Genomic DNA, 13834 nt, shown 5'->3' with positions numbered 1-13834 from the left:
TCAACCATGTACTACAAATCCATAGCCAACATCTTACTAAATGGGGAAAAGTTGAAGGCAATCCTTCTAATAACTGAAACAAGACAATGATGCCCACTTTCACGACGTCTATTCAATACAATACTGGAAGACCTAGCCAGTGCTATCAGGCAAGAGAAAGAACTAAAAGACAAACAAATTGGAAAAGAGGAAGTCAAATTATCTCTGTTCACTAATAATATGATTTAAAACAACTCTATAAATTAAGAGCAGATTAAGTACAGTTAGAAAGAAAATGACTTACAAGATATTTAAGCGGAAATGTTATGCAGCGCTCTGCTAAAGGAGATAAGGAGACAAAAACAAAAAAGGATTAAGACATAGGAAGACCAAGTATTTTTAATATAGCTCTAAATGAAGACCTATAAAGAAATAAATGAAATAATGCAGAAGAGAAATATCTGAAGAGAGAACTATTTTTCACAAATTGGTAAAAATATGAATGTATTAATCCAGGAAAAAATTGCTTACAAAAAAATCATTTAGAATGACAGTAAATTTCTCTACTAAAACCAATACATGCCAGAAGATAATTGTGTAACATCTTTGAAGCACTTAGAGTAAATAACTGTTAACATTTATATATGAAAACTATTTTTAAACATACTATTTCAAATAAAGATATGTATAGTTTACCACCTAGAAAGTTCTAAAGAATGATATTCAAGGAGGAAAATGATCTCAGAAATACTGTCTAAGGAGTAAGATGAAAATTGAACAAATTAAATGACAAATATTAGATTAATCAAAATAAATATTTTAAGTATCTAATTATATGATTATGTTTAATGTGTATAAATTTTAAGAGGCTAGAATAGAAATATTGCATGCAATAGGTAAATAAAATTATGTGAGTTAGGAAACATAAATGAAGATGTTTGAAATCCTCTTATCATTAGAAAAAAGAGGATAAATATGTTGTTTTACTTTATTTTTTCAAAGATAATTTTGTAGGATAAAATTTTAAGAGTAAGAAAATTTAATGAAGTTTATAAATTAAAAATCAATAGAGGTTTAAAAAGTGGAATAAAGAAAAATAAACATACATTCACTACTGAAGGCAGGGGTTCAGGGCCAAATGACCAATTCGAAGCAGCTGTGGTCTGCAGTGTGGACAGAGAGGAATGAAAACATGTGAGTGAATTCAGCACCTTCAACTGAAATATCCCACTGGGACTGATTAGACAAACAACTTGACCCATGAAAAATGAAGAAAAGCAAGGTGGGGTGACGATCCACCCAGAAGCATGGAGCTGAAGGAACCCTCACACCCAGCCAAGGGAAGCAGTGAATGACTGTTCAACCACACTTGGGAAACCACACTTCTCCCATGAATCTTTGCAATCTACAGATCAGGAGATCCCCTTGTGAGCCCATGCCACTAGGGCCTTGGGTCCAATCCACAGAGCTGTGTGGAGTCTTGGCAGAGCAGCCACTCAGTCACACACAGAGACCCAGGAGATTTACATATTGTGGCCCCAGGATCCCCTTTAAGGCAGGAGATCCGTCCATACATATTCCTAGGAAGGGGGCTGAATCCAGGGAGTCAAGCAGCATCATTCTGTAGGCCCCACTTCCACAGCAGCTCACAAGTTATGACCTACTGACTTGGAATTCCAGCCAGCCAACAGCAACAGGCTGGAGTCTGCCTGAGGCAGGATTGAGTTCCTGGGGGTAGGGGCAACTGCCATCTCTACAGTTCGGTTGACTCAGCCATTCCTGCCTCCCAGCTTTGGATAATCCAAATTGCCCAAACGAGGAAGGGTTCCGCACAATGCAGCACAGCTGCTTTGCCAGATAGTGGTCAAACTGATTTTTTAAGTTTGACCCCCATCCATTCCTTCTCACTGGGTGGGACCTCCCTGCATAGGCTTCAGCCACTCCACCTAGGGTTATATGGACAGTGTTCTTATCTTTCCCTGGGATGGAGCTCCCAGTGAAGAAGGGGCAGCTGCTATCTCTGAGGTTTGGTCGAATCAGCCATCCCAGCCTGCTAGCTTTGGAGATTCCAAATGGTCCAGAAAAGAAAGGGTCCCCCACAAAGCAGCACAGCTGCTCTACCAATAAACAACCAGAGTGCTTCTTTAACTGGGTCCCTGATCCTGTTCCTCATTACAGGGTGAGACCTCCAAACAAGGGTCTCCATCCACCTCTTATACCATTTGTACAGCCAATAGGTCAGTAATCCTGTGGGACAGAGCTTCCAGAGGAAGAAGCAGGTTGCCATCTTTACTGTTTCACTGGTGATATCTCTAGGTTTGAAAAAAACCAAGGCAGATAGGGTCTGGAGTGGACCCCCAAATAACTGCAGCAGCCCTACAGAAGAGTGACCTGACTGTTAAAAGAAAAACAGAAAATAACATCAACAAAAGAGAAAAGAACCGTTCAAAGGTCAGCAACCTCAAAGATCAAAGATAAATAAGCCCACAAAGATGAGAACAAATCAACACAAAAATGCTGAAAACTCAAAAAGCCAGAGTGCCTTGTCTCCTCCAAATGAGTGCAACACCTCTCCAGCAAGGGCACAGAACTGGGCTGAGACTGAGATGGCTGAATTGACAGAAGTTAGGCCTCAGAAGGTGGGGAATAATGAACTTCACTGAGCTAAAGGAGCATGTTGTACCTCAAAGGAAAGAAGCTAAGAATCACGATTAAACAATACAGGAGCTGATAGCCAGAATAGTCAGTTTAGAGAGGAACACAACCAACCTGATAGAGCTGAAAAACACAACATGAGAAATTAATAATGCAATCACAGTATCAACAGGGGAATAGATCAAGCAGAGAAAGGAATCTCAGAGTTTGAAGACTATCATTCTGAAATGAGACAGGCAGACAAGAAAAGATAAAAAACAATGAAAAGGAATCCCTCCAAGAAATATGGGATTATGTAAAAAGACCAAACTTACAACAGATTGGGGTACCTGAAACGGACAGGGAGAATGGAACCAAGTTGGAAAACATACTTTGGTATATCATCCAGGAGAACCTCCCCAAACTACCAAGACAGGGCAACATTCAAATTCAGGAAATCCAGAGAACTCCAGAAAGATACTCTATGAGAAGATCAACCTCAAGATACATAATCATCAGATTCCCAAAGGTCGAAAAGAAAGAAAAAATGTTAAGGGCAGCCAGAGAAAAAGGCCAGGTCACCTACAAAGGGAAGCCCATCAGACTAACAGTGGACCTCTAAGTGGAAACACTTAGAGGTTCTAAGTCAGAGAAGATTGGGGACCAATATTCAACATTCTTAAAGAAAATAATTTCCCACCCCCCACCCATGAGACTTTCATATTCAGCCAAACTAAGCTTCATAAGGGAAGGAGAAATAAGATCCTTTTCATACAATCAAATGCTAAGGAATTCATCACTACCAGGCCTGCCTTGTAAGAGCTCTTGTAGGAAGCACTAAATATGGAAAGAAAAATTGTTACCAGCCACTACAAAAACACACTGAAGTACACAGACCAGTGACACTATGAAGCAATCACATAAACAAGTCTGCAAAATAACCAGCTAGCATCATGACTACAGTAGCAAATTTATACATAACAATACTAACCTTAAATGTAAACAGACTAACAGCCCCAATTAAATGACACAGAATGGCAACCTGGATAAACAGCCAAGACCCATTGGTATGCTGTCTTCAAGAGATATGTCGCAAGTGCAAGGACAAACATAGGCTCAAAATAAAGGGATGGAAGAAAATTTAACAAACGAATGGAAAATAGAAAAAAGCAGGGTTGCAATCCTAGTTTCTGACAAAACAGACTTTAAACCTAAAAAGATCAAAAAGATAAAGAATGGCATTACATAATGGTGAAGGGCTTAATTCAACAAGAAGAGAACTAACTATCCTAAATATATATGTACCCAATATAGGAGCACCCAGATTTATAAAGCAAGTTCTTAGAGACCTAGACTTAGGCTCCCACACAATAATAGTGGGAGATTTTAACACCCCACTGACAATATTAGACAGATTGAGACAGAAAGTTAACAAAGATATTTTCAGGACCTGAACTCAGCTCTGGATCAAGTGGACCTGATAGATCTCTACAGAACTCTCCACCCCAAAACAACAGATTATACATTCTTCTCCTTGTCACATGGCACTTACTCTAGAATCGAACACATAATCAGAAGCAAAACACCCCTCAGCAAATGCAAAATAACTGAAATGATAAAAAAACTCATACCACAACACAATCAAATTAAAACTCAAGATTAAGAGATTCCCCTAAAACACACAACTACATGGAAACTGAACAACCTATTTTTGAATGACTCTTGGGTAAATAATGAAATGAATACATAAATTAAAAAGTTCTTAAAACTAACGAGAACAAAGAAACAATGCACTAGAATCTCTGGGATGCAGCTAAAGCAGTGTTAAGAGGAAAATTCATAGCACTAAAATCCCCACATCAAAAAGCTAGAAGGATCTTAGGTTAACAACCTAACGTTATAACTAAAAGAATTAGAGAAACAAGAGCAAACAGACCCCAAAGCTAGCAGAAGACAAGAAATAACCAAGATGAGATCTAAAGTGTAGGAGAGGAGACACAAAAAACTCTTCAAAATATAAACGAATCCAGGAGCTGTTTTTTTTTTGTAAAAATTAATAAAATAGACTGCTGGCTAGACTAATAACGAAGAAAAGAGAGAACATTCAACTGAACACAATCAGAAATGATAAAGGGGAATTTTACCACTGACCCCACAGAAATATAAACAACCATCAGAGAATACTATAAACACCTTTATGTACACAAACTGGAAAATCTAGGAGAAAACGATAAGTTCCTGGATGCATACATCCTCTCAAGACAACCAGGAAGATATTGAATGTCTGAATAGATCAATAATGATTTCTGAAATTGAAGCAGTAATAAATAGGCTACCAAAAACAATAACAAAAAGTCCAGGACCAGACAGCTTCATAGAGGAATTATACTAGTGGTACAAAGAAGAGCTGGTACTATTTCTACAGAAACTATTCCAAACCATTGAAAAGGAGGAACTCCTCCCTAACTCATTTTATAAGGCCAGCATCATCCTGACACCAAAGCCTGGCAGAGATACAACAACAACAACAACAACAACAACAACAACAACAAAAACTTCAGGCCCATATCCCTGATGAACATTGATGCAAAAATCCTCAATGAAATACTAGTGACTGAATCCAGGAGCACATCAAAAAGCTTGTCCACCACAATCAAGTTGGCTTCATTCCTGGGTTTCAAGATTGGTTTAACATACACAAATCAATAAATGTGATTCATCACATAAAACTAAAGACAAAAAACTCATGATTATCTCAATAGATGCAGAATATACCTTTGATGAAATCCAATATCCCTTCATGTTAAAAACTCTCAATAAACTAGGTGTTAAAGGAACATACCTCAAAATAATAAAAGCCATATATGACAAACCCACAGCCAATATCATGCTGAATGGGCTTAAAGACTGAAAGCATTCTCCTTGAAAACTGGCATAACACAAGGATGCCCTGTCTCACCACTCCTGTTCAATGTAGTGTTGGAATTTCTGGCTAGGGCAGTCAGGCAAGAGAAAGAAATAAAGGGTATTTGATATGGTTTGACTACGTGTGCACCCAAATCTCAGTTTGAGTTGTAGTTCCCATAGTCCACATGTGTTGTAGGAGGGACCAGGTGGAAGTAATTGAATCATGGGGGCAGTTGTTCCCAAGTTGTTCTTGTGATATTGAGTGAGTCTCACAAGATCTGATGGTTTTATAAGCATCTGGTCTTTCCACTGCTTGCAGTCATTCTATTTCTTGCCACTCTGTGAAGAGGTGCCTTCTGCCATGATTGTAAGTTTCCTGAGCGCTTCCTAGCCATGAAGAATTGGGAGTCAATTAAACTTCTTTCCTTCATAAATTTCCCAGTCTCGGGTATTCATAGCAGCATGAGAACAGAATGATAAACTATTCGAATAGGAGGAGAGGAAGTAAAATTATCTTTGTTTGCAGATGACATGATTCTGTATCAAGAAAACCCTATCATCTTAGCCCAAAAGCTTCTTAAGCTTATAAGCAACCTGAGCAAAGTCTTAGGATACAAAATCAATGTGCAAAAATCACTAGCATTTTTATACACCAACAACAGGCAAGCAGAAAGCGAAGTCATAAATGAACTCCCATTCATAATTGCTACAAACAAAATAAAACACCTAGAAATACAGCTAACAAAGGAAGTGAATGACCTCTTCAAGGAGAACTACAAACCACTGCTCAAATAAATCAGAGAGGACACAAATGGAAAAACATTCCATGCTCATGGATAGGAAGAATCAATTTCATGAAAATGGCCATACTTCCCAAAGTCATTTATAGATTCAATACTATTCCCATTAAACAACCATTGATATTTTTCAGAGAATTAGAAAAAAATGCTATTTTAAAATTTATATGAAACCAAAAAATGCCTAAATAGCCAAGACAATCATAAGCAAAAAGAACAAAGCTGGTGGCATCACACTACCCTACTTCAAACTAAACCACAAGGTTACGGTAACCAAAATGGCATGGTACTGGTTCAGGAACAGACACATAGACCAATGAAGCAGAATAGAGAACTCAGAAATAAGACCACACACCTACAACCATCTGATCTTCAACAAACCTTAAAAAAAAAAAAAAAAAGCAATGGGGAAAGGACTCATTATTTAATAAATTGTGTTGGGAAAGCTGGCTAGCCATATGCAGAAAATTGAAACTGGACCCCTTCCTTACACCATAATTACAGGCTCATGCCTGTAATCCCAGCACTTTGGGAGGCCTACATGGGTGGACCATGAGGTCAAGAGTTCAAGACCAGCCTGGCCAACATGGTGAAACCCCACCTCTACTAAAAACACAAAAAATTAGCCAGGCATGGTGGCACGTGCCTGTAATCCCAGCTACTCAGGAGGCTGAGGCAGGAGAATCGCTTGAATCCAGGAGGCGGAGGTTGCAGTGAGCAGATATCATGCCACTGCACTCCAGCCTGGGTGACAAAGCAAGACTTCATCTCAAAAAAAAAAAAAAAAAAAAAAAAAGAAGAAAAGAAACTATCATCAGAGTGAACAGAACCTACAGAATGTGAGAACATTTTTTGCATTCTAATCATCTGACAAAGGTCTAATATTCAGCACCTATAAGGAACTGAAACAAATTTACAAGAAAAAAATAACTCCATTAAAAAGTGGGCAAAGGACATGAACACGAACTTCTTGAAAGAAGACCTATATGTGGCCAACATACTTACGGAAAAAAAACTCAACATCAATAATCATTAGAAAAATACAAATCAAAACCACAATGAGATGTCATCTCACACCAGTCAGAATTGCTATTATTAAAAAGTCAAAAAACAACAGATGCTGGTGAGGTTGTGAAGATAAAGGAATGCTTTTAAACTGTTGGTGGGAGTGTAAATTCGTTCAGCCATTGTAGAAGACAGTGTGGTGATTCCTCAAAGACCTAGAGGCAGGAACACCACTTGACCCAGCAATCCCATTGCCTATCGTATACCCAAAGGAATATAAATTATTCTAGTATGAAGATACATGCACATGTATGTTCATTGCAGCACTGTTCACAGTAGAAAAGTTATGGAATCAACCTAAATTCCCATCAGTGATAAACTGGATAAAGAAAATGTGGTACTTATACAGCAAGGGATAACTATGCAGCTATAAAAAAGAACGAGATCATGTCCTTTGCAGAAACATGGATAGAGTTGGAAGCCATCATCTTCAGCAAACTAAAACAGGAACAGAAAATCAAACACCTCATGTTCTCACTTATAAGTAGGAGCTGAATGATGACAACACATGGACACATGGTGGGGAACAACACACAGTGGGGCCTGTTGGTGGTAGGGGTCCGGGGAGGGAGAGTATCAGGAAGAATAGCTAATGGATGCTGGGCTTAATACCTAGGTGATGGAATGACCAGTGTAGCAAACCACTAAGGCACACATTTACTCATGTAGCAAACCTGCAAATACTGTACAAGTACCCCTGAACTTAAAATAAAAGTTGAAGAAAAAAAATTGAAGACAATAAAGAAGAAACAAAAAAGAAAATGGGACAGTAGAAATCAAAAGGTATGATAATAGAATAGAGTCTCAGCATGTCAGCATTCACAATAAAACCAAATTTATCAGCTGAAAAACATTATTTGTCATGATCACAGAGAGAAGTCAAATTTAAAAGGGTGAAAAAAAATACATACTGGGTAAATAATAGCCAAATGTCCGGTGCAGCTCTAATCGTATCAGACAAAATACACTTTAAGACAACAAACATCATTAGCAACAAGAAACTTCATAATGGCACAACATAAAGTTTAATATGCCAGAAAAACATACCATAATTTAAAATACATTCGCAACTGAGATAATATTAAAATATATAGAGAAAAATAATATAATTATAGGAAGAAAAAATAGCATTTTGGTACATTTCTAAGCAGACCTTTAAATTATTAATATTCAAACAGATAAAAAAATTAGCTAAAATATAAAATGTTAGAGCTACAAAATTTCCAACCTGCATTTAGTAGATAGTTTACATTCAAAAATGAGATAATTTACAGCCTTGTTAAATTCAAATAGAGCATTTGTAAGAATTTTATTCTAGGCCACAAAACCAAATTTGTTTTAACAAATTTCAAACAGTAGATAGTATATAGATCCCATTTTCCATCCACAAAATAAACCAGAATATGACCAAAAAATATAAAGAATGTTCACATATTTTTCGAAATTCATATGACAATTTAAAAACACTTATGGGTCAAGGAAGAAATCAGAATAGAGACTTTAAAAATATGATAAAAAGAATAGTAAAAACATTGTATATAAAATTAATTTGATTCTGTGAAAGTAGTAATTCAAGTATAATATATAGCCTTAAGTCTGCTTATTGCATTGGGAATTAATGCAGTATACATTCAATTTAAATTAGAATTATTTTGCTTAAAATATGAAATAAAGAAAAGATATTCACTATCACCACTTCTATTCAATGGTTTATTGGTGGAATTTGGCAACACAATTTGAAAAGAAAAATAGATTCATGCATTGCTTAGATAGGAATATGTTTTGAGAAATGTCATTAGACAACTTGGTTGTTTTGTGAACATCATAGAGTGTACTTACATTAATTTAGTTGTTACATATTTTTATTTATGTGTGTATATATATATATTCAAATGGTAAACCAAATGTCTCAGCATCATTACTGAATATCAATCATTTTCCGTACTTTCCTCCTGTTCTGCAATGTTAATATCAAGTGCCATTTATTAAGCTTCTATACACATTCTATTAGTCTCATGGGACCAGTGTATATGCAGTCTGCTGTTGATATCATGGTGAATGACTAAATGGACTGCATGAACCAAACACCGCATGTTCTCACTCATAGGTGGGAATTGAACAATGAGAACAGTTGGACACAGGGCAGGGAACATCACACACTGGAGCCTGTCATGGGGTGGGGGGAGAGGGGAGGGATGGCATTAAGTGAAATACCTATTGTAAATGATGAGTTAATGGGTGCAGCACACCAACATGGCACATGTATAGGTATGTAACAAACCTGCACATTGTGCACATGTACCCTAGAACTTAAAGTATAATAAAAATAAATAAATAAATAAATAAATAAAATAAAGAATTAAAAGAAAAGAATTATTGCAATTGTTGCCAATTTTATGATTGTCTACATAACACAATGGACTCTATAAAAGCATTATTAGAAATAATAAATGAAAGTGCCATTTACTTATCTATAGAATCTCAGATTAAAATCTGTATCTTTATATTCTGTGATGTTGGATGTGGAACTTTGCAAACTATTTTTCCAAGATGCCTTTGCCTGCAGGAGTATGTCAGGGAAGACACTACATGAAAATTAAAAGATAGAAGAAGAAAAAGGACTGGGAAGATACTACATGAAAATTGAAATATAAAAGAAGAAAAGGGACTTTCAGTGTTAGTTACTTGGTTTGCAACTAATTCTAAAATGTATATGGAAAGCAATGGGCCAAAAATATCCAAAACACTCTTGATGAGAAATTATGGAGAACTTGTCCTACTATAAGATTTAATTATTATGTATTAAGTATGTATTAAGTATTATGGCCATTAAGACAAAGTGATACTGTCAAAGAATAAAAACGTTAACCAATTGGATAGAATAGAAAATCTATAACCATATTCACACAAATATGGAAATTTGCATATCATCAGAGACATGTCATTGCACATCACTGGGGAATATAGGAGCTAGTCAATAAAAATAACTAGAAAAATTGGTAATCCAAAAGAAAATAAAAGATGAATTTGGATTCTTTATCTTACAAAATCTGTTCCCCATAAAGACTAAAATATCAAGAATAAAACTCTAAAATATTTGGAAAAAATTGATATGTGACTACATTTCCAATATGGAACAAGGAATGGTTCCTTAACAAAGATAGAATATCAAGGAAGAGATTAATTAATTTGACTGCAGTACTATTAAGACCTTCTATTCATCAAATAATATTACAAAGCAGATGAAAAGACATAAACCAAGAGATTATGGTTACAATAAATATAGCCTACAGATAATTAAAAACAAGAATCCAAACCAATAGGAAACGGGAAACATCTTAATTTTAAAATGAACAAAGAGAAAGTACACATACCAAAAGAAATAAAGAGATGTTCAACTCACTAGAAATTAAAAAAAAGCAAAGGAACAACTACAAAATTATATTATTTTTACCTATTCAGTTACCAAAAATTAAGAAGTCTGGCAATTTAAAGATCGAAGGGGGTATAAACAATTTTATCTGGTATAAATTAGTACAACTACACAGGTAAACAATCTTACCTGGTATAAATTGGTACAACTCCCTAGGTATTATCAAGAAAGTTTAATGTTCATGCATCATATAATCCAGCAATTCCCTTCCTACAATGCTTCTCAAACTTTAATGTGCATATTAATTGACCAAGGATCTTGCTAAATTGCAAACTCTCAGGTGTGAGCCGAGGTTACATAGTTTTAGCAAGCTCCCAGGTGATGCCCATGCAGCCTGTCAACCCACACTTTGAGTAGCAAGATAAACCCAATACAAACTTTGCATTTGGGCAATAGGAGATGTGAGATGTATACAAAACACCCTTACAAATGGCAAAAGACTGCCAATAATCCAAACGTTTATTAATAGAATAGATTACAAATTGCGTTGTCCAATGGAATATTTTACTGCAGTAAAAATGAATGTACTGCGACTAAACACAATAACATGCATGAATCTTGGTAATAGAACACTGAGTGGATAAACAATCCTGAGAATACCATGATATACTTTTTACAAAGTTCAACATTAAACAAATTAAGACATATTTATTTATGCATAAGTATAGGTATGATGAGGTTCGGGACAATATGTCATCTTGGAACCTTAGCATTTGAGAAAACAGCACAAGCAGGAAGGTCACCCTTCTTCCCTGAAGCAGGTCATAAAATCCAGGAAGAATTTTCTGATCTTCACCTGAAGTAAGCCATAAGACAGTTATTCAAGAGATGCTCTCCCTATACCTGAAGGAAAAGAGCTAAAGACATACAGATGCCATGAGGAACCTGAACAAATAGGCCTTTATAAGTTTCCTCAGTTTATTACCATTAGATCCTACACTTTTGTCCTCTAATAATGTATCTCCAGTACTTTCTACTTTTCCTCAAACCTAGCACACACAAAAAAATACACAGGTTTATCTGTTTCTTCAGGTCTTCATTTCCTAATGAAGACTCCCTTTTCATGTAAAATGTATATTCAATAAATTTGTATGCTTTTCTCTTGTTAATCTGTCTTTTACTATAGAAACCCCTTTCATGAACCTAAAATGTGAAAGAAAGAAATTTTATTTTCTTTACTAAGGATACAATTATGAAAACAAAACCAAAAGCATGATAAACACTAAATTAAGGTAATATTTTCGTAATGAGGATGAACAGCAGGGTGATGCCATAAGGAGAAGGAAATAGGCAGATGGAAGTTACTTGCAATGTTCTGTTTGCTGAATTGAATGTTGAACCCATGAGTGTTATTATATGTTTTAAAAATAATGAATTTATATTATGCATCATAAATCAATAGAAAATAATACCTAATACAAATATGTATTTTACTACTTTATACATACATTAGCAAATTTAATTCTCACAACATTCCTATGCATTTATATATGCTGTTATCAGCAAGTTACAAATAAGGATTTGGGAAGAAAGAGGTGAGGTAACTTGTCTAGAGTTGCACAGCTAATACATGGCATTCAATAGTTGCTGAAAACAAAAAACTAGCAGGCATCCTTGATTCTTCTCTTTCTCTCATACCTCACATCCATTTCATTAGCAATTCCTAATGAATGTGTCACCAAAATAGATCCCAAGTTTATCTATTTATTTCTCCGCATCTCCACTGTTACCTCCTGATATGGTTTGGCTTTGTGTCCCTACCCAATCTCATCTTGAATTGTAATCCCCAGGTGTTGAGGGAGAGACCTGGTGGAAAGTGATTGGATTATGGGGGTGATTTCCTCCAAGTTGCTCTTGTAGTATTGAATGAGTTCTCAGGAGATCTGATGGTTTTATAAGGGGCTCTTCCCCCTTCACTTCCATCACACATGTAAGACATGCCTGCTTCCCCATTTGCCATGGCCTCCCCAGCCATGCAGAACTGTGAGTCAATTAAATCTCTTTTCTTTATAAATTACCCAGTCTCAAACAGTTATTTATAACAGTGTGAGAATAGGCTAATGCACCTTTCCAATGCAACCTTCAGTTAATCTGACATGAATGACCTCAACGTTTTCGAAGTCTTTTTGCTTCCTCTCTTCCTCCATATTATGAGTTGAATTATGTCCCCATATATTCATATGTTGAAGTCCTGACTCCCAGAACCTCAGAATGACTTTATTTGGAGGTCTCTGTAATGACAGGGTCCAGAACCTATATTCTCAACCACTTGTACACTGTCCTTATCAGTTTCCCAGAGTTAGTTCTGTTCCTTAACAAGATCTTGGGTAACTTGTTTTATTTCATCGGCCAATGCTTAACAACACTGACATATTTGGGTTGGGCACTACCCAAGGAACCTTTCGTTCTAAAGTCCCTCACAGACCAACAGGGCCCTGGCTTGAAATGACCAGATCATGAGGCATTTCACTCTCCTTTAGGTGTCATGTAGATTCCTGCTCTACATCAGTTTGGTCTTAAATATTGCTGTAAGAAGATAATTGGGAGGACTGAAGAGATCATTTGTTTTGCTAATTACATTTGACCAGTGTTATTCTATTGAGTAGGTTTACTCTTCCAGACAAATACACAGACAGAAAACCTGGCCCATTCTTATGGAACCTGAGCATTTTGTTGATAGGAACATATCTTATTTTCTCTTAGATTAGGTCAGACGGCAGCTTTCCAAGATTTTGCAGTTACTTTTCAGATTTATCAACTCATTGGCATAAAACAAATACAAATAAAAATTCCATATGTCATCCCATTTTTATTCCTTGGCAATTTCCCAGAAAAAATCTGGGATAAAAATTTTATTTCATATTTTTAATGGCTTGGAATCCTGAGTAAAAACCTCTTAATACTAAGTTTATTATTAAACTTCTATTGTCCTGAGAAAACAATGACCTTTATTTGTCAAAGGTGGAAACCACAGGAACTATGACTTCATGGCTATTGGGATGTATGAAGCGGTGTTCAG

The sequence above is a fragment of the Homo sapiens genome, chromosome 12 (genome assembly GCF_000001405.40).
Source record: "Homo sapiens chromosome 12, GRCh38.p14 Primary Assembly".
Lineage (NCBI taxonomy): Eukaryota > Metazoa > Chordata > Mammalia > Primates > Hominidae > Homo > Homo sapiens.
The sequence above is the reverse complement of the archived record's forward strand: the minus strand, read 5'-3'. Positions refer to the sequence as shown.